Source organism: Homo sapiens, chromosome 10 (genome assembly GCF_000001405.40).
Source record: "Homo sapiens chromosome 10, GRCh38.p14 Primary Assembly".
NCBI classification, from domain to species: Eukaryota; Metazoa; Chordata; class Mammalia; order Primates; family Hominidae; genus Homo; species Homo sapiens.
In genome coordinates this window covers 71,269,278-71,289,320 of record NC_000010.11, presented here as the reverse complement: position 1 = coordinate 71,289,320, position 20,043 = coordinate 71,269,278, and the positions used below count along the sequence as shown (strand labels likewise).

Below are 20,043 nucleotides of genomic sequence, written 5' to 3'. Positions count from 1 at the left end.
ATAAAAATATTTGGGTTCAAATCTTGGCTCTACTATTTCTTGCCTGTGTCTCTGGCCAAGTCCCTTCCTCTCTCTGTGACTCAGTTTCCCCTCTTATGAGAGGAGGCTCAGTAGGGTGCCCTAAGGCCTTTCTTTTCTGTCAGCCAAGGGTTTGCCTGTCTGCCGGTGATGGAGATGCAGACACATGCAGTGTCAGGTGTAGATGATCCCGTGGGGGGTGGGTAGGCACCTTCAGCTCTCCCTGCCCTGCACCCTGATCCCGGGAAAAGCCAGCCAAAGAGAACCAGGGATCCCCCAGAGGAAAGAGGACAGCCATGAAATGGGACTTACGGTGGCTGTTGGGGTCGCTTAGAGTTTTCTTATCTGTCAAGGGAAATAAAGGGAAAGACAATGACATAGGTGACAGGGAAAGGGTGGCAGAGAAGGCAATGGGAAGGATGAGATGAGATGATGGATGTGGTGGGGGGACAGAGGCCCTGAGGACTGCCGTGCTGCAGGCTGGGCACTGAGGCATGGGGCCGGGTTTGGGGGACCCTTACATGGCTCCAGAGTCCCCACCCCCAGGGCCCCACCTTCCCTGTGACTCACTTTGCATGCACAGCCCATCTGTGCAGTTCTTAGAGTCGAGCAGCGTCCCGCTGCAGTCACGGCCTCCGTTCTGGGGTGGGGGCGCCATGCACTCGCGGCTACGCCAGTGGGCACACTCAGTGCTGCAGGCTGACCACTTGCTCCACTCCGTCCACGCCCCATCGACTGTAAGAGCATGGCATACAGGAGCATGTGCACGCAGAGACATGTGCACACATAGTTATGTGTGCAGAACAGAGCAATGTGCCAACACACATGCATGCATACACACCATGGAAGGAAATGAGGAACCCAGAACACATGTGTGCCACACAGAGAAATCCACATGATATCCACATAACCCCATGCCAATGAACAGCCAGATGCACCTGGCAGGTGGACAAAGAGGGTACAGATAGATGTATAAGGTCATCAACACGATATAGCCCAGTGCACGATTTACACACACAGACACAAACCCAGGGTAAAGAAAAACAGCGTAGGCACAAACATACAACCCAAGGGAGAGAACACAGCACATGTGCGGGGGTAGGGGAGCAGAGGGGCTGCACAGAGGATGAGAGGAATAGGAGGACTGTCAGTATGAATAGGGTCTGTGGCCACGGTGTGTCTTAACAGTCAGGAGCAACAGGCTGTCCCTGAGGCCGGGGAGCTCTGAAACCTTGGCCTGGGGCTGACATGCTGACACTGAGAACCCTCAGCTTGGAGGGCAGAAGAGCCCAGGCTAGAGGGTCAGGGAGAAGGGGCTAACCCTCAAAGCCTCTGCCTCCATCTCACCAGCAGCCCAGGGCAGAATAAGGGGTCAGAGATCAGAGCATCTAGTCAGCCTGGGCAGCCGGCTGTGGGCTCGGGACAAGCACCTTCTGCTCCCCATGCTGGGGAGAGAATGGCTGTCCCGGCTCTGGCACACAAAACAGAAGGTGGGACAGGGTTCGGGGTGGGGCTGGACATGGACAAGGCTCCTTACCTGGGCAGATGGTGGTGCAGGCGGTCTTCTGGAATGCCTGGCCCTCGCAGAAGGCCCCTCCGTTGAGTGGAGCGGGGTTGGTGCAGGTCCGGGTGCGCTTCTGCCAGCCTCGGCCACAGCGGTTGGAGCAGGGTGACCACTCTGCCCAGCTGGACCAGCCGCCATTCACTGCAAGGCGGCAGCTGTCAACTGGATGGCTTGGCTCTGGAACCCTCTGCCCTCCCCCAAACCCGTCCCTCACCCTGACGAGGCCCCTCTGCTGAAGCCTGGCCTTCCTAGTGAGACCCCTTTTGCCTACAGTGTAGGGACTCAGAACTGGCAGATAGAGCTGGGCTGTAACCGTCAGCACCAGAGGGGATCCGGGAAGTCACTGTCTATGCCCCACCTCATTGTAAGACGGCAAAGAAGGTCCAGAAAGGGCTGCCACTTCCCCAGGGTCACCCTGGGAGTGATGGGGGCCTGGGACTGCCTGCAGCTGGAACCTAGCACAAGGTTCTTTCTAAAACTCTGTCAAGTCACCTCAGCTGTGGCTCCACTCCTCCCACCCATAGGGCCCAAGGGGGCAGCAGAGAATAGCTCACAAGCCTGGGCAATGGTCCTTAACTCTACCAGGACAACAGCCTTCTGGACATACTGACTGGGCCCTGCCTCAGCCCCCAGACTTGGAGAACTCCTTCAGAGTTAGGCAAGGCATCTTGAGAACTGGGGAGTGTTCCTGGCTGGGAACCCAGGAATGCCCAACTTGGCCATGAATTCTGCTGTGTTGTGATCTTGGTCAATTCACTTCCCCTCTCTGGGCTGCATCCTCCCTACCAATCCAGGGGTCCCCCCTACCCCCAGGCTCTCTCCTCCCTCCCTTGGCCGTGTCTGCCCCTCCCACTCCGAAAGGCCCGCACCGTAGACGATGACGGTGGCAGTGGTGCTCCGGCGTTTGGCCACGATGTTCTTGGCCACGCAGGTATAGTTGGCAGTGTCCGACAGGCGGGCCTGGCGGATGATGAGGTTGTGGTCGATGGTGAGCAGGAAGTTGGTGTCCTGGGTGGGGTCGATGACATCCTCATTCTTGAGCCATTCCACCTGCAAGAGTGGGGGTGAGGGGGCAGTGAGGGCCCAGGACAGGTTTGATCATAAACAGAAGAAGGGCAGTTCTACCTGGGTCCACGCCATAGTCGTGGCAGTGAGGCAGGGCCTTGGTGGGACTATAGCACTGGACACTGTACAGCTCTGGGGTTAAGAGCACCATTTGCCAGCTGGGTGGTCTTGGGAGGGGACTTACCACTCAGGGACTCAATTTCATCAACTGCAAGATGGAATTGAATAGCACCTACCCCATAGGGATCCATCGCGAGGATTACATGAGTTAGCATGTGTAAGGTGCCGAGAACAATGCTCAGAGGAAGTTGAGTTAAACTAACTAAATAGGTGCTAGCCAGGAGTATCTGTCTTCATCATTAACTCCTCCCAGCTCTGCTAGCCAGGAAGAAAAGCCTGGGAGGTGATACGAAGAAGGTCCCCGGGTCTGGCAGACCTGGGTCCAAACCCCAGCTCTGCCACTCACCAGCTGCCTCACCCTAGGTGGCCACTGGGCCCCTCCCAGCCCTGCTTCCTTGCTGTGGGATGGAATGGTAACATCCACTTTGCAGGGTTGTTGCAGAGACCAGCGTGCTAAGTGCCTAGCATATATGGGCCAGGGGTATTTGTCTGAGCCCACTACGCAGAGGAGGGTTTGGGCTGGGAGAGGCTGAATGATGAGTGCATGGTTTTGGGATCAGAGAGGGCTGATCCCAGGCTGGAAGTCAGGGTCCTGACTGCCCCAGCCGTCCACTCTGCTGGGCAAAGCTGAGATGCAGCTCTAATCCCTGGACCACCAGTGCAGGGAGTATGTCTGGAACATAGGTAAGGATGGCGAGAGAGGACAGCAATCCAAAGACTGTGGTTTCAGGAAGGGGTGATCAGCTCGTGGGGGAGAACACACTCACACACACGCATGATGGGATCCTTTCGCATCCAGAAAGCTGGGGCCTTGGGTTCTGGGTGGGGCAGGAGATAGAGACTGAGCTGGAGGTCTACCTAAGGAGCCCCTGAGTTCTGGGGATTTCTGCCTTAGCCACCCCATCCCGTGGGGTTATGCCTGTGGCAGACCCAGCTGGGATCTGGCATTGCTGCGTTCGACAGAGGTAACAGTTCTCTTCTCTGTGCTAAGCCTCGATCTCATCTGCGAAAGGGGCAGGGCTCTGGGAGACTAGCACCATGGCTGGTGGTAAATACCATGCCTGCCTGGCTTCTGCAGGCATGGCCACAGGGCCGTGCTCAGTGGTCCCTACGTCCCCGCTCACCTCGGCCACAGGCACCCCCTCCGGCGGGCGGCACTGCAGGAGAACCTCATGGTCCAGGGGCACCTCCTTGCCCAGAGGCTCCTGATCGAAGTTCTTGCGCAGGTCTGGGAGAAGCGAGAGGGTCCCAAGGCAGTCAGGTGCGGGCAGGATCAGAACCTGATGTGCTACACTGTAGCCACTGGGTGGCAGTGCAGACCCAGGGTACTGTTGATGGGCCCACCTGGCCTTTGCCTGGGAAATTTCCTCTTCTCCAAAGGAGGGGTCTCACTAGGCAGACTTGGGGGAACAGGGTTCCCTCCCTGACTCTGGGATCCTAAGCATATAGTGGCTCAGGATGGGGGAGGAAGCTGCCAGCTTCTTTTATACAGAAGTAGATGAAAAGAGGCCTAGGTTCTGGGTCTAGGAGCCCTCTCTGAGCTGGCATCCATGTGCTGGGATGTCTCTGCCGTGGGCATCCTCAGCCAGGGATGCTGGAGGAGGCCCCACAGATGTGAAGTTCCCTCTCCAGCATCCTCAGGGATGGGGAAGGTTCCTGCAGGGACAGGGTGGGGGTCAGGGTGGCGTACAGGCGATGCGGACGTAGGCTCGGCGACTCTTGGTGGTGCCCGCGGAGCTCCAGGCCACGCACTGGCACCAGTAATCCTCCAGCCCAAAGAGCTCCTCCACCTGCTGCCGCGACACCTCGATCTGCACCTCGCGCACCCGCAGGCCTGGGAGGAGAAGAGAGAGCCGTCAGGGGGCAGGGGCAAAGCAAGGATGTGAGGCACAGGACACCCCCGGCCTTCCACCTCGGATCCTGCTGGCACTCTTGCCCAAGTGCCTTTCCCTCCATTCCTCTTGTCTCCTGTCTCCACCCTGGCTCAAGCTTCATGGCCACTCACCTGCACATTGCAGTGGCTAACACAAGCCCTCTGCCCCACCAATGCATCTTCTACCTGGCAGCTAGTGTCATCTCCAAAATGCACAAGTGGTGTGTCATTCCCCCCGTTATGAGACCCTTCATGCGGGGTCTCAGTGGCCTGCAGGCGGGTAGGGTCATCCCCAGGAGTGGCTCTGAGCTGCACTGTGCATCCACCATCCCCATCCCACTGCAGCCTCACCGGGTGTCTTCCAGGCCCTCATGTTCCCTGGCTCTGCAGCCACGGGGCCCTTGCACATCAGTCCCCTGCCTGGAATCTTCTGTCTCCTCTGGGCCTGGTGGCCTCCCAGTCCCTGCCAGATTTCGGATCAGCCTCACTTCCCGAGGAAAGCCCCCTCCACCCTGCGCCTCCCCGACAGCTCTCCCAGCACTGCTCGGCACTCCCACCACTGTGCCCGGAAGTTCGTCTATGCAGCAGTCACTCCCCTACCCAGCTTCGTCTCCTCCCAGCACCCACCATTAGCTGGACTCAGATTATTTATGGACGCATTCATGTGTTAAATGTCTGTCTCCTGCAGGAGAACAAGATGGGGCTTTGTCCTGCTTGCTGCTGTGGCCCAGGGCTTGGCACAGAAAGGGGGCTCAGCACGTGCAGAGGTGGGATGCCTGCTCTCCCTGGTCACTACTCAGGCCCTGTGGGCCTGGAGCTGAGGAAGTCCCTCTCCCAGGGAGCCCCTGATCTCTCAATGGCTCCCCGGTCAGGGCCTGGGAAACTCCCTACATAACAGGACCTACCGGCCTACACAAGGGGGTCACTCGGTTTTCTGTTAACCATCCCTCAACGAAGCCCTCCATGCTCAGGAAAGGGGGGAACCTGCCAGGAAAGGGGACATTCATCTGAAGTTCCTCCCCAAAGGTTACAGAGCCCTCTTCCTCCTCCAGGAAGCCTCCCTGACTGCCTTGTGTCTCAGAATTTCTAAAGCTGCTCCTCCCTGCCACGATGTGTCCTATCTCATCCTCTCATTGCACCATGGATTGTTAAGGTACGCACAGCCGGTGGCATGGTGGGTAAGGACAGGGTTGGATGGCTGGACAGGTTTGTGTCCTGGCCCCACCCTCAAACCCCAGCTGGGTGACCTTTGTGAAGTTACTCAGTCTCTCTGAGCCTCAGATCCCTCATCATAGTAAACTCTCAAGGTAAACTCTAGACAAGTTATGGTGACTACTCCGCCACAGCGCCCAGCCCGGGCCAGACACAAATATACTCTGGCAGGTCATCTGGATCTCAACCAGCTTCTTCTGTTACCTTTGAAGAAACTGAGGCTCAGAGAGGGTAGGTGGCAGGCACCAAGTCCCCTAGCAAGCTGTTGCAGAGCAGAGGTCAGCTCCCTGGTGTCTTTCCCAGGTTAGAGCTTGGTCCCCTCACCCACAACTCCTCTCTTTTTTTTTTTGAGACGGAGTCTCGCTCTGTTGCCCAGGCTGGAGTGCAGCGGCGCAATCTCGGCTCACTGCAACCTCCGCCTCCTGGGTTCACACAATTCTCCTGCTTCAGCCTCCCGAGTAGCTGGGACTACAGGCGCCTGCCACCACGCCTGGCTAATTTTTTTTTGTATTTTTTTGTAGAGACACAGTTTCACTGTGTTAGCCAGGATGGTCTCGATCTCCTGACCTCGTGAATTGCCCGCCTCGGCCTCCCAAAGTGCTGGGATTACAGGCATGAGCCACTGCGCCCGGCCCCACAACTCCTCTCTGGACCTCTCCTGATGAAGTCATTGCTGTAACTCTCCTATTGTTGAGGAGGGTGGGGTCCTTGTGCAGGGAGTCCAGATGGGGGACAGCCCCGTCCTGATGGCCAAGGATGTAAATGGGAGGTGGCTAGGGGTATGCCATCCAGGGAAGAGGCTGCTTCAGGGGTGGGTGACAGTGCCTGCCTGCCATGGCTGCCCACAGGCTGGCTCCACAGTCAATGATGCATGACCCAGGGAGCACAGCCCCTGCCCCTTGCTTACCAGACTGTGAACCTGTAAGAGTGTGCCCTTTTAAGGGGGTCATCCATGCAAGAAGGTTTCAGCAGCACCAATAGCTGGATAGAAGGAAACAACCACCAGGGAGGAGGCGTGACACCTCATCCATGATCACCAGCAAGCAGAGATGCAGGGAGCATAGGACAGGGACCTTCGGTCTCCCAGGCTTGAGGCCCAGCATCAGACTGCCCTCCCAAGCATGGCAATGCCTGGCCCAGGACACCCAGGGTTGGGCTGCCTGCCCCAATCTGGCATAAGCTGGTGGGGGGCTGTTCTGCCTCTCCTGGCCCCCAGCTGTCCTCTTCTGTGTTTTCAGGCCTCAGACCAAGGCTAGAGAGTAGGAGGCTGAAGTGGAATCAGGCCCCACCACTGCCAAGGAAGCTCTGCCCATTATTTGCAGCTAATGGGGACAACAGTGCCCCAATTTCTAGGGCTGGCAGGGCCTGTGTGCCTGGTGGCAGGGTTTTGGTAAGGGCCATGCTGTTACTATTAGTAATAATCACAGGGTTATTATTACTATGCTAACGGCCTGTGAGGGGCCCCAGCAGGCACACTGTTCCCTCGCCTTGCCTGGACCCCGATGGCTGACCTCTGATACAGGCCAGAGGGGCTCAGTGGGCAGAGAGGTAAGGACCGTTTGAGAGAAAGAGGCCAAGGAAAGCCCGGAAAGAGGACAGAGGAAGCAGGTGTTTATCGACTGCCTGCTGGGCCCTGGCATGCTGTTCTGTGCTATGTGTACGCCACCTGGCTCTACCCTCACCAGGACCTTCAGTCAACTTCCCAGTTTACGAAGAGAAGAACTGGGGCTCAGAGAGGTTGAGTGACTTCCCCAGGGTCACTCAGAAAAAGAGTGGGGGCAGCTGGAAAATATGTGTTGTTTTGTTTCCCCTTAAAAATTCCTTTTTCTAGCTGGGTGTGGTGGCTCACGCCTGTAATCCCAGCACTTTGGGAGGCCAAGGCCGGGGGATCACGAGGTCAGGAGATTGAGACCATCCTGGCTAACACGGTGAAATCCCAACTTTACTAAAAATACAAAAAATTAGCCTGGCATGGTGGCACGCGCCTGTAGTCCCAGCTACTTGGGAGGCTGAGGTAGGAGAATTGCTTGAATCTGGGAGGCGGAGGTTGCAGTGAGCCGAGATTGCGCCACTGTACTCTAGCCCGGGTGACAGAGCGAGACTCTGTCTCCAAAAAAAAAAAAAAATTCCTTTTTCCATTTTTATATTTTGGGTGAGCATGGGACTCCAAATCTATTGTTTAAAATTATGTTTAAATTGTGGTAAAATACACATTCTATAAAACTTAGCATTTTAACCATTTGTAAGCATATGGTTCAGTGACCTCGAGTACATTCTAGAGTATGGTTTTAAGCCTGACTGTTTCTGAAATCTGTGAGCTTTACATGACAAAACAGAAACTAAAGAAGGGGGAAAGAAGGACAGTGAGACAGCATGTCAGGGAGACAGAGAGTGAGACAGAGAGAGGGGGATGAAGAGAAAAAGAAAGAAGCAAAACAGGCACATAGGGAAAAGAGAGAGAGAGAAATGAGCAGGGAGAGGCAGGGAAATAAACAGAGCTGAAGAAGGAGAAAGCAAAGGATCCAGAAAGAGACGGGAAAAACAAAACAAAACCCAGGAAGGCTACTCGGGAGCCCCCTGAGTCTGGGGTAGGCTGGCTCTGTCAGGTGACTGAAGGGGGGGTCCCATCTGCCTGTCTTAAGCCCCAGGAAGGGCTTTTCACCCCGAGGGCTCCTGCACTATCAACAGGGACCTGGTGACAAGTGAGCAAGAGCCCCTCACTTAGACTCGAGGGCACCCTGGGGGCAGGCCCAGTTCTGGGAGATGTGGGGAGCCCCAGGGCTCTGCCTCCTCCTCTGGGAGTACCGAGAGCTCCCCACATATCCGAGAAGGAAGGGACCCCAGGCTTCCTCGAGTTTCCCAGTTTCAGCTGCTCTCCTCTTTCCCTCCAGATTTGGTCTACATCCCAGCACCACTTGGATGGTTATTTACTTAATACTATCAACTTTTTCTTTTTAACCTAAAACAATTTATTTCAACACAGGAAATGCCATATCATTATTGTGAATGGAAACCAGTATCACTTTCCACAAACAGAAGGGAACTGTAAAAATAACGATTGCATTGAATTCTGGGTCGGTGCCGTGGGGTGCCAGGGCTGTGAGGCAGAGACCTGCCCTCTTTGTTAAACAGGGAGATTAGCAGGTGTTTGGGAGGGCTCAAGAACCCCCACCTGACGGGAACTTGCTCCCTAACAGAAGCAGAAAGATGGAAAGTGGAAAAGGGAGTGAGGGCTCACAGGGCACTCGGTGCTGTCCAATGCAGTGGAGATGGTCCCAAAGTCAGGCTGGGACATGTGGCCAGCACTTGGGGAAATGCTAATCCAAGGGGGCACCATGGCTGTGTGAAGTCTCACATGGAGCTAGGCCTGTGCCTCTGGGCCTGGGGTGTCCTGGGGTGCCCAGGCAAGTGGGGCGGGCTCACCGGTGGCCTCATCCAGGCCTTCCTGTGTGACGTGGTCGTTCTGGCTGACCCACTCGCCGTTGCACTTGAAGTAGATCTGTGTGGCGGGGAAGGCGCGGCAGCGGAGCTCCACAGGCTTGTTCTTCACAATGTAGGCGTCCTGTGGCTCCTGCAGGAAGTAGGGCAGCGGCTCTGCTGGCGCTGACGGGAAGGAGTCAGGGAGCACCTCGCTGCCAGAATCAGTGCCTGCAGAGTGAGTGGAGACCTCCATGAGGCTGTGTGCTGGGAGGGCCCTGTGGCACCCCTCGCCCACCCCGGGGGCCCACCGCAGACGAAGAGGACAGGGGAGGCAGAGGTGGGGCAGCCAGAGCCCTCCTGGGGACGTAATCTGCAACCGGGGTCAAGTCTGGCACTCCTGCGGCCTCAGTTTCCCATCTTGCCCTGCTTTTAAGAGGCTGGGCTTTATAAAGAGCCAGTTCCCACTCTGCAATGCTGTGTGACTGTACTTCATTACAGACAGAGAGGCCAAGGAGGTCCCGGGAGGGGAGGCGATCTGTCTGGGTGAGGACACCCCTTGGGCCCCCCCACAACGTCTGCTCCACTGTCCCTGCCCGGCTTCTATCCAGTTCCTCATGGTGACGCCACGAGATGCAATGGGCTGGAAACGGGGCTGGAGCTCAAACCAGGCCAGCTCTGCCCTGGAGTCACAGCTGCCCTTTGCAGCCCCTGCCAGGCTGGCAAGCGGGACAGGAGCCAGGGCTGCGGGGCAGGGGTGGGATGAGCCGGCTGAAGCAGGCCTGGACTCCATGGTGCTCAGCCCCCTGCAGGTCTCCTCTCCCAGGGGAAGCCCTCCTTCCCAGAAGCTTCCTCACAGAGCTCACCTCCCATGGTCTGTGGCTCTCACCCATCCCTTGGCCTCTTCTTCCCAACCCCCACCCCAGCCAGATCCAGCCCTCAGCACAGCAGATGAGGAGACTTCAGAGCAGATGGGGGCTGTGCCTGTGGCAGTCTCCTCCCACAAAGGGGGCCAGATGGAAATCCTGGCCCACCGTCTCCCTGGAAAGAACTGCACCTCAGGAGGTGAGACAAACAGGAAGGGGGGTGTGGCCACCGCCAGTGCCCAGAAGCGGGGGAAACCAGGCCATTGACCTGCTGGTTTACAATCCACCTAGAAAAATGAATTTTCCAGTGCCAAATGCCAAATGATCAGGTGGCTGGGCACAAGCCGTTGGGGGCTTGTCCTCTTCTGCTAACTGCCCAGAGGACACAGTGAATGAAGCTGTGGGGTGGCGCATGGCCGCCCAGCCCCTCCAGCTAGAGGCCCCACCTACAGCGGAGGGAGGGGAGCGGGTGGTGTCCCGGGAGGCCTGTGTGGCCACTGGGATCGTGCACTTGTTCTCTGGTCTAGGAGGCCACATCTGGCTCTAGGGAGTCCCCCCTACAGTCAGAGGGGCCAAGGGGACACCTGGTTTTCCAAGAACAGAATGTCTGACTATGCTTTCTCTTTGTGGACCAGGAGACCATGCTGAGACTGGGGAGCTTAGGAGAAAATGCATGAACTATCACTGGCTTGGGGCCTAGGCCCTGGGCAGTGTGTGTACGGGCGGTGGGGGTGGGGTAGCTAACAAGATGACACATGACTCCAGCTCCATCCAGCATGTTCTGTAGGGCCCAGGGAGAGAACCTTAACACCTACCTCGTTATGTCTGATGAGCACAAGAGGTGGACAACCTTACCCCGTCTCTGGGCTGCTCTGAGGATGAGACAAACATGCATGAACACCTAGGCGGTGCCTGGCACACAGTAGGTACGTACATGTTGCTGCATCGAACGAACAACTAAGGCTCACCCAGCATCAGGTGCTATGTTTGCAGGAATTTAAGTTGTTAACTTATCGAATTCTGGCACCAACCCTGTAAGGTATGTTCTATTAGACCCCATTTTAGAGATGGGTAAATGGGAGGCTCAGGGAGGTTAAGCAACTTGTCCAAGGTCATACAGCTAACAAGAGGCAGATCAAAAGTTTGAACCTGAGAAAAGACTTCAGCGTTTGGGCTGTTGCCCCAGACTCCACACCACCTATCATTGATCTACGTAGCTCTGTAATGGTGTAGGTGTCTCCACACCCAGGAATCCTAATAGCACCCTGACAGGGCCAGAACTCCACAGTCCACAGGGCTCTCTCATCAAGGGACCTGCAAGGCTGGAAATGTCCTCATTTCAAAGCAGAGGAAACTGAAGACCATTCAGATGGTTCCCATGACTTGCCCGAGGCCACCCGGTGAGTGGGTAGCTAATGTGGGAAGAGCAAGGCAGATTCCTGAGGCCAGGCCAGGGCTCCCTGACACCTGCTTCCCACTGCCAGGTACAGGGATACATTCACTATAGGCAAACTGGTAGCCCCCTAGGGCTGCTTGGGGATTTGATGAGGAGATGACACAGTGACTTGATCACAACCCAGGGAGCTGAACATTGGCTTTCAGTGGCCTGAGAGCTGGTTGCTGTGCATGCCCTGAGATGGCCACTGAGGCCTCCCTGCCAGGCCAGACAGCTCTGAGATAGCAGGATGGAGCCAGGAGGGCATCTGGGCAGCAGAGAACCTGCCAGGCTCCATGCCCACCACCCACCACCAGCATCTTGTCTCCGTCTCAGCCCTGAGGGGTGTGGGACAGAGCTCTGCCTTCAGACTCAAGAGGCCCCTGGGTCTGAACCAGCCCCTTGCTGGCCTCAGGCAGCTCATCTTTGAAATGGCAGGATTGAGCCTCCCTCTGGGGGCAGGTCATGGCCACAGGAGAAGGGGCATGGGGGCCCATGGGTGCATGTCACGTGCCTGCCCCCATCTTCTAACCGCACCACCCCCAGCCCCGGGGTGACAGCCGCCTCTGTGCTCTGCAGCACTGCAGGCTGTATTATGACTTTGTTTTATAACTCTAATGCAGACCATTTATTAAGTGGGTGCAGACATGACTGAGGAAAGCAAACATTAGACATCCATTAGTGCAGCAGGCCCTGCGTCTGGCAGCCCCACCGCCCTACTCTTCCTACCCCGCCCCTCCTCTCAGCCCTGGTGCAAAGATTCAGCTCTGGCCTTGGCAGGGGCGCAGGCCAAGTGTCCCCTCTGTGCCTCTCTGTTGCAGCAGTACCGGATGGCTCTTGATGTAGCTGTTGCCCTCTTGCTGTCCCTATACCCTAGGTGTCCTGGAGGCAGAGACTGCCAGGACATAAGGAAGAATGAGAGGCCCACCTGAGGTTCCTGCCTGGAGGGACCATGAGTGGACTCTGCTGGCCAGCACACAGCAGGTGCACAGTGAATGCAACTTCAGTAAGGGAGTAGGCCGGGCGCAGTGGCTCACGCCTGTAATCCCAGCATTTTGGGAGGCCGAGGTGGGTGGACTGCCTGAGCTCAGGAGCTCGAGACCAGCCAGGCCATCGCGGTGGAACCCCATCTCTACTAAAAATACAAAAATTAGCCGGGCATGGTGGTGTGCACCTCTAATCCCAGCTACTCGGGAGGCTGAGGTGGGAGAACTGCTTGAACCCGAGAGGCGGAGGTTGCAGTGAGTGGAGATCGCACCACTGCACTCCAGCCTGGGCGACAAAGTGAGACTCTGTTTCCAAAACAACGAGAGCCCTCACTTCTCCTTGGCCCTGGCTTGGGCCCCAGTGACTGAGGAAGGCTTGAAAGGTGGGCTAGATGAGAGCGACCTATGGCCAGGCTGCACGGATACCAGCTGGGTGGGAGAATAATGGGGTCTCGGGGTTCCTGGATGCTTACCCTGCCAGGCGCCGCTCAGAGAGTGGTTCATATGAACTCAATGAGCTCCATAATAACCCTAGACAGAGATGCACAAACGTTTTGATTTTTAGTGCCTCAGTAATTTTTTTTAAGCTATCCCAAGGCCAAAAAGAAGTCCCTAACAGGAATGTATTAGGTAATTAGATCCAAACAGCTTTGTAAATATTTATATCCTAAAATCTTAGGATAAATTGAAAGAAAAAATATATTTTTATCCCATTCCTAATAGCCACAAAGACTTACGAACAGGGATGTGTGCACCTGTCGGGCACTGCACAACTTCTCAAACTTTGGAATCCAAGCGGACACCACTATTCTTACTGTTTGTCATGGGTTACTCAAGTGCCACAATCCCAGCTTTGCAAAGATATGGTGCCAAATAAAGGAAAACAGAGTGATATGATGCTGAAACTGAGCTACCTGGAGCTACTTGTTGGTGCAGTGTCTGACAGCTATCTAGTATTACCGTGTCTCCCACATTAAAAATATCCCACAGCTTCCCTGTGAGTGTGCTGATGAACCCTGGGATAACTTGGCAGGTAGTTTGGGAACCACAAGCCTATGAGTTGGATATGATTATTATCCCCACAGTGCAGATGAGGAAACTGAGACCAAAAGCGTTTAAGTGACTGGCATAGAGCTATAAAGCTAGTAAGTGGCACCGCTAGGGGGCAAATTCAGGTGATCTGATACTAGAATCTGTCTTCCGAGCTCTGCTGAACTGGAAATGGGCATTTAGGTCTACTATGTGCTACTCCTTGCAATTCTTCCCATTTTACAAATGAAAACGAGGGGCAACAAGGGACATGAAGGGTCACCTGGTCGATGGCAGGAAGCAAGGCTTGAGCCATGTCTCTCAGCCCTGCCTCCCTGGCCTCTCTGCAGGACTTCCTGCTGCTCCGTCTCTACAGAGGAACCACATCTAAGACAGGCTCCCCTAGAAGTTCTTGCCTCAGCCAGGCCGGATCTGGGTTTCCTGCTGGCAGGAAAATTCCCACATGAAGTGTTTTTTCCCAAGAGTAGAACTCGTTTGGGCCTAAATTGCAAAAGTGCAGCCTGCCTTTAAAGCTGCATCCAAGAATGGTCCAGATATCCCGCCAAGAAGCTATGAAAGAAGACACATCCCTGCACAGATGTAATGACAAGACAGTCAAATGAAGGACACGAAAGATCGCTGGAGGCAGAGGCCCTGGGTTTGCATCCCAGCTGGGGACTGGCATTGCTGTGTGGCCATTCTCTCCCAGGCCCTGGAGTTTCTGTCTGTAAAATGAGGAGGTTGGCCAAGTCAGTCTCTCAAGCCCTCCTCTGCTTCTAACACTTTGAGGTTTAAAGATCCCTTATGGGGAATCTGTTCATGTGTGAAAATGTCCTGTTGAGTAAATTTTTTTCTTCAGAAAGCAAATTTGCTTAAATTAGGGTCACTTTCCTTGCCATTGCTATACGGTGGTCCTAAAGCAGAGCGTAGGTAGAACCCAGGGAAGGAGGAGGAGGAAACACTGTTGGGCTCGCCTAACCATGCTCCAGCCCACCCATCCCAGGCCTTAGATCAAAATGACCACCAGCACCTCTGGATGGGACCTCCGAGGGGTGCCATCCAAACTCTCACCTCTAATTTGCCTTTACCTGCCTCTTTATGAGGTCTCTTTATGAGGTCTCTACATGAGACCTCTTTATGAAGTCTCTATAGAAGTTACTTAAAGGGCCATCTCATCCAACGTCTCCCATCAACTCCTCAGCCAACCTTGACTCACATACCTGTGGGGATGGGGAATTCATCACTGCTTTTCTCAGCCAGGTTCTTCTTCGGACAGACCTAATAGTTAGAAAAGCCTTCCTTACTCACAGCTGCAATTTGAGATTCAGCCATTGCTAGACTTCTAATTTCTATTTTATTTTATTTTTTTTTTTTTTTGAGACAGAGTCTCGCTCTGTGGCCCAGCTGGAGTGCAGTGGTGCAATCTCGGCTCACTGCAACCTCCGCCTCCCGGGTTCAAGCAACTCTCTGCCTCAGCCCCCTGAGTAGCTGGGATTACAGGCACCCGCCACCACAACTGGCTAATTTTTGTATTTTTAGTAGAGACAGGGTTTCACTATCTTGGCCAGGCTGGTCTTGAACTCCTGATCTCATGATCCAACTGCCTTGGCCTCCCAAAGTGCTGGGATTACAGGCATGAGCCACCGCACCCAGCCTAGAATTCTAACTTCTAAACTAACTAAACAGCACACTTCTAACTAAACAGTGCACTTCCCAGTCTGGAGGTTGCAGCCTGGTCCCCCAGTCTGTCTTATCCAAATATTCTCTAGAAGACACAGTTTTGCACCTCTCACCTCCATGCTGGCTTCCTTATGGACAAGTTCCTCATGTCACCCACCCATTTAAAATGCAGGAGGGTGAGGTGACCAGGCTAGGGTCTAGAGGGCACCTTCCTGCTTCTGGCAAGTCTGTTTTGAGTCAGACAGCTCAAAGCCTCCTTTGCAGTTTTGGTGGCTGCTCCTGGAGGGCAGGGAACACACTATGTTCTTCCTGGTGTCCCCCATGGGCAACAGGGCGCCCGTCTAGGAGTGGAGTGGAGCTTGTCGGACAGCAGGCCCTGTGCCCGTCTGTAGGCTTCTTCCCAGGGGCTGGGCCTGTGCAGTGCCTGCTGTGGAGACACAAGCTTGTATAAGAGGTGTCAGAATCTGACCCACCTGGATGAGCAGGAGTGAGGGCCCAGGAGGCGAAGGAATGACTTCAGGACAAATGTAAAGACACTGTACCTCTCAGAGGGTCTTCTCAGAGGAGGGGGTGGCTCCAACATTCCTGAGAGGGAGATTGTCACTATCCCTAGGGGAAGCCAGAGGAGTGCTGTGGCCCTTACCATGACTCTGAGCCTGGGCCCAGGCTGACCCAAGAGCCAACAGTCCTGGTTCCAAGCCTCACCCAGCACTGTGAGACCTTGGGAGGTTGTTTGACCTCTCAGAGCCTCAGTTTCCCCATCTATAAAGAAGTGACTAGCAGTTCCTGCTCTGTCAACTTTGGGGTATTGCTGTGAAAGGTCAACTGAGAAAACAGATGCAAATATCTTTCTTAACAAGCACTGTGGGCCGGGCGCGGCGGCTCACGCCTATAATCCCAGCACTTTGGAAGTCCAAGGCGGGCGGATCACCTGAGGTCAGGAGTTCGAGACAAGCCTGGATAACATGGCGAAAGCCTGTCTCTACTAAAAATACAAAAATTAGCTGGGTGTGGTGGCGGATGCCTGTAATCCCAGCTACTCGGGGGGCTGAGGCACAAGAATTGCTTAAACCTGGGAGGTGGAAGTTGCAGTGAGTGAGATCTCACTATTGCATTCCAGCCTGGGCAATGGAGCAAGACTCCATCTCAAAACAAACAAACAAACAAACAAACAAACAGGCAGTGCATGTGCCTGGGAGTGGCAGCAGGCAGGAGCTGTTCTCTAGCTGAACTGTGTGTGGGAGGTCAGAAGCCCCACAGACTGTTTCCTTGGCCTGGCACCATCTGAGCCCACGTAGACCAGACACAGAAAGTCAACGTTCAGAGAGCCTGGAGCCCTTGGAGCCCCGCGTTCTACCGGATCAGAGAGGGGAAGTGACTAATGCAACACCACACAGCAAATTAACAGCCAAGCTGGACCAGAGCCCAGTTGCTGATTCAGGACTGAGGAGGGACAGGGGGCCCAGAAAGACAGCACAGCCACGGCAGGGTTGTGGGTGAAGGCTTGGGCTCTGTGATTCCCATGCCTGGGATGGAAATTCCTGCTATCCATCTCAGCCGGGTCCACTTCCGGTCAGCCCTGTTGCCCAGGGCGGAGACCTCAGAGGGAGGCTGCTGTGGTCTGGTAGGGAAGGCCTTGAAACCCCCACCGCTGGCTTTTGTCCACAGGCCTGGGACCCCCAGGCTTCCACCAGGGGTGGGCATCTGTAGCCATGCAGGGCTGTGTGTCTCCAGGGCTGACTGGCTCAGGACAGGGAGGGGAGGAGTCAGGCGGGAGGTGAGGACAGAGAAACGCCCCACGCTGGGCACATTTATCATCAGCAATCACAGTCTTTCTCTAGCCCCTGGACACCGGCTAATTCTCCCCAGACTTGACCTCCCACTGCATGGAAAATCTCTCCCATTCACTGCGTGGCTGATGTGCTCAGTGGGGAGTGGGGAGAGTTGGGGGAGAGGAGCCAATTTATTATTATGTTTTAAAAACACACAACCTCACATGGAAGGACCCCTCCCTGGACACAAAGCTCTTCCTCCATCTGGCCCTGGCTCCTTGCGGCTGTGGGGTTCAGGCAGGGGCCCCCTCGGAGGCGGTCACAATGGCCGTTACCGATGACAAATGGGGGCTGGCGGGCTCGGGGGACGCCAAGTCATTCCTAACAAAGGTGGCTCCTCACGCAGCCCTCTTCCCACACCCTCTGCACCCATCTGTGCCCTGACATCACTTCCTCTGCTGTCACAGGAAGCGGCTTCGCCAAGGTGGCCAGCTGGGGCAGGGGCCTGCATCCTGAAGGGGGTGTCCATCTGCTCCTGTGAAACGTCTCCCTCGAAGGACTGTGAGGCAGGTGAAGAAGTGGATGGGAGGCTGGGGTCGAGGCCCCAGGGCAGGTGCAGTGCTGGGATGAGCCCGGGCCTGGCTATGGGGGCCACGCTGCTTACAGAGCTGGAAAGGGCACTAGAGTCACTGGGTCACTGGCCACCCTGACTTCCACCCCCAAGGCCCTCCCTCCAGACCCTTCCTCTGGCTTTGGGTTCCTTTGGCTCAGTCTTGGGGCTAATTTTTGGTTCCTTTTCCAAGTTTCAGGTCCGATGGGGTCACTGTGATGGAGGCCTGGGCCCTGAGGAGGGGATATTCTGTTTCCCCTTCTTCTCCCAGACAAGGAGCTCAAAGCCCTTTCATCCATGCTCCTGCAGATAATAAGCATATTCCCACCACCTGGCACTGAAAATCCTGTGTGTTCCAACGAGACAGCGCACATTATTGTCAACACAATGACCCTGCGAAGCTGTTCCATTTTACAGATGCGAAAACGAGGCAGAAGAGTGAAAGGGCGTGTTCGAGGTCACAGCCACCAAAACCCAGCAGGGACAGCTATTGTTCTGTCCTCTCAGGAGCTCCCTAGCTTGCTGGAGGGGACGGGGTCTCAGCTTCCTGACTCCAGCACTTGGCTTCCCTTGCTCTGTGGACCTGCCCCTCCCAAACCGAGATCCAGGAGTAAGGCCTGGGGCCAGCCTGGCCCCCCACTCAGTGACAGGTGGCAAGCCCCCTCAGACACACACATGCCCAGCCAGGTTACATCCACAGCTATCTCTGGGGACACCCTGAGAGCCCCACCCAGGCTGGGACCACAGTGCCTTTCTCAGGGTGGGCCTTTGTTAATGCTGCTGTCCCCCTAAGGCAATGGCAGGCTCCCCACCTGTGACTCAGACCTGCTATTTTATAGGTCACCTCTCCCTGACCCAGGGTTGGCATGGGGTGAGTTTGAGCTGCAATCTTAGACTCCGCCAAGCACCCAGTTGTTCAGGTCCCATCTGGGAGGATGCCTGGTGGCTCCCTTTCCTTCACCCCACTTCCAGTCCGTGCTGCTGGAGGGACCTGGTGCTGCTAGATGAACCTGGAAGATGTGCCTCACACTGCACGACCACCCCCACCACCCGCTGCAGTCTCCAAGCCCAGGTCTTCCCGCCTGGACCCTTCCTCTCTCTGGGCTCCCTACCTTTCCTTTTGCCCCTAAAATCCACTTTCCTCTTAACACCAGAGTGATCTCATAAGAGAGAAACCCTGCCCTCTAGTGGTGTACAGCCTCCTGCGGCTTCTCTGTGACCCTGGAGAAAGTCCTAAGCTACCCAGAACCCTCTAACTTCATGGACTCACCAGTCTTCCCTCCCTCCCTCCCTGCCTCCCACCCTCCCTCCCTCCCTCCCTCCCTCCCTCCCTTCCGCAGAGTCTCATTCTGTCACCCAGGCTGGAGTGCAGCGGCATGATCTCAGCTCACTGCAACCTCCGCCTCCTGGGTTCTCCTGCATCAGCCTCCCAAGTATCTGAGATTACAGGCACATACCACCACGCCCAGCTAATTTTTGTGTCTTTAGTAGACACGGGGTTTCACCATGTTGCCCAGGCTGGTCTCGAACTCCTGACCTCAGGTGATCCACCTGCCTTGGCTTCCCAAAGTGCTGGGATTACAGGCGTGAGCCACTGCACCCGGCCAACTCACCTATCTTTCACTGTGCTCCAAGCCCCACCAGGCGTGTTTTCCTGGGACATGCCTTGCTTGTTCTAGCCTCAGCGCCTCTGCTGGTCTCTTGTTTTGGAGCGCCTCCCCCAACCCCTCCCACACACACATATTCTCTTGGCTGACTCTTTGTCATTGAGATCCCAACTCAAATGCCACCTCTCCAGTGAGGCCTTCCCTGACCACCCAGTGAAAATGCACCATTCTCTTTCCTCCCTGTGCTATCTCCCCAATGCCTTTTTTTTTCTCTTGGCAGGCTCACCTCCCTCTGGAATGACCTGCTTTGTGTATGTGTTTGTAAGCTTGCTGTCTGTTTCTGGACAGAAAGGAACTTGCCTTTCTGGAAGGCAAGTTCCTTGAGGGCCTGGGAATCTTGTTTGCGGTGTAGATGGGCCCACTGGGGACACAGGACAAGCACTGGGGTGGCAGGTGGAGGGGGAGGGAGCAGTCAGAGGGGGTTTGGGCAGCAGGAGCGGGTAGGAGGGCTGACCTGGGCTACAGGAGCCCATCCCTTGGGAAATTCCATGCTGCAGGACTCCACTAACTGATGGAACTTCACAGACCATCTAATCACTGCCCTCAAGGATGGAGACCAGAGAGGGTGTGGTCTGGCTCCAGATCACACAGCACCTGAGCAGCAGAGCCAGAAAGAGAAACTGTGCACCAGACTCCCAGGAAAGGAGAAGTTGTGGGGGGGGGACTTCATTTTTCTAAACTTTTTTTTTAATTGAAAACAGATGTTTGGGTTTATTCTGATTACAAAGG

At 55.5% G+C, this 20,043-nt stretch overlaps 1 protein-coding gene across 2 annotated transcripts in view, besides 10 other annotated features; it reads right to left on the bottom strand.

Annotated features, from left to right (window-relative positions):
* UNC5B (unc-5 netrin receptor B) overlaps positions 1 to 20,043 on the bottom strand; it is a 90,295-nt gene that overhangs the window by 13,544 nt on the left and 56,708 nt on the right. The window contains exons 2-8 of one of the 2 annotated variants that reach the window (NM_170744.5): positions 9,276 to 9,500; positions 4,458 to 4,601; positions 3,892 to 3,995; positions 2,452 to 2,632; positions 1,556 to 1,723; positions 589 to 753; positions 331 to 363 (exon numbers count right to left, since the gene is read on the bottom strand). In NM_170744.5, the coding sequence (NP_734465.2) occupies positions 331 to 363; positions 589 to 753; positions 1,556 to 1,723; positions 2,452 to 2,632; positions 3,892 to 3,995; positions 4,458 to 4,601; positions 9,276 to 9,500 (1,020 nt within the window). The remainder of the gene's footprint in view (positions 1 to 330; positions 364 to 588; positions 754 to 1,555; positions 1,724 to 2,451; positions 2,633 to 3,891; positions 3,996 to 4,457; positions 4,602 to 9,275; positions 9,501 to 20,043) is intronic. The other variant, NM_001244889.2, reaches the window with a different exon arrangement.
* Positions 3,352 to 3,851: an enhancer, noted in NCBI's record as "H3K4me1 hESC enhancer chr10:73045227-73045726 (GRCh37/hg19 assembly coordinates)". NCBI's record gives its function as "activates a minimal SCP1, AML or CMV promoter by ChIP-STARR-seq in primed H9 embryonic stem cells {active_cell/tissue: H9 hESC(primed)}" and the evidence as "EXISTENCE:reporter gene assay evidence [ECO:0000049][PMID:30033119]".
* Positions 3,848 to 3,917: an enhancer, noted in NCBI's record as "active region_3512". NCBI's record gives its function as "activates an Ori minimal core promoter by ATAC-STARR-seq in GM12878 lymphoblastoid cells {active_cell/tissue: GM12878}" and the evidence as "EXISTENCE:reporter gene assay evidence [ECO:0000049][PMID:35858748]".
* Positions 3,848 to 4,353: a biological region, named in NCBI's record as "H3K4me1 hESC enhancer GRCh37_chr10:73044725-73045226".
* Positions 3,852 to 4,353: an enhancer, noted in NCBI's record as "H3K4me1 hESC enhancer chr10:73044725-73045226 (GRCh37/hg19 assembly coordinates)". NCBI's record gives its function as "activates a minimal SCP1, AML or CMV promoter by ChIP-STARR-seq in naive and primed H9 embryonic stem cells {active_cell/tissue: H9 hESC(naive and primed)}" and the evidence as "EXISTENCE:reporter gene assay evidence [ECO:0000049][PMID:30033119]".
* Positions 9,438 to 9,963: an enhancer, noted in NCBI's record as "H3K27ac-H3K4me1 hESC enhancer chr10:73039115-73039640 (GRCh37/hg19 assembly coordinates)". NCBI's record gives its function as "activates a minimal SCP1, AML or CMV promoter by ChIP-STARR-seq in primed H9 embryonic stem cells {active_cell/tissue: H9 hESC(primed)}" and the evidence as "EXISTENCE:reporter gene assay evidence [ECO:0000049][PMID:30033119]".
* Positions 9,964 to 10,488: an enhancer, noted in NCBI's record as "H3K27ac-H3K4me1 hESC enhancer chr10:73038590-73039114 (GRCh37/hg19 assembly coordinates)". NCBI's record gives its function as "activates a minimal SCP1, AML or CMV promoter by ChIP-STARR-seq in primed H9 embryonic stem cells {active_cell/tissue: H9 hESC(primed)}" and the evidence as "EXISTENCE:reporter gene assay evidence [ECO:0000049][PMID:30033119]".
* Positions 17,878 to 18,597: an enhancer, noted in NCBI's record as "H3K27ac-H3K4me1 hESC enhancer chr10:73030481-73031200 (GRCh37/hg19 assembly coordinates)". NCBI's record gives its function as "activates a minimal SCP1, AML or CMV promoter by ChIP-STARR-seq in naive and primed H9 embryonic stem cells {active_cell/tissue: H9 hESC(naive and primed)}" and the evidence as "EXISTENCE:reporter gene assay evidence [ECO:0000049][PMID:30033119]".
* Positions 18,598 to 19,319: an enhancer, noted in NCBI's record as "NANOG-H3K27ac-H3K4me1 hESC enhancer chr10:73029759-73030480 (GRCh37/hg19 assembly coordinates)". NCBI's record gives its function as "activates a minimal SCP1, AML or CMV promoter by ChIP-STARR-seq in primed H9 embryonic stem cells {active_cell/tissue: H9 hESC(primed)}" and the evidence as "EXISTENCE:reporter gene assay evidence [ECO:0000049][PMID:30033119]".
* Positions 18,598 to 19,489: a biological region, named in NCBI's record as "Sharpr-MPRA regulatory region 4598".
* Positions 19,195 to 19,489: an enhancer, noted in NCBI's record as "tiled region #4598; K562 Activating DNase matched - State 5:Enh". NCBI's record gives its function as "activates a minimal TATA promoter and a strong SV40 promoter by Sharpr-MPRA in K562 cells {active_cell/tissue: K562}" and the evidence as "EXISTENCE:reporter gene assay evidence [ECO:0000049][PMID:27701403]".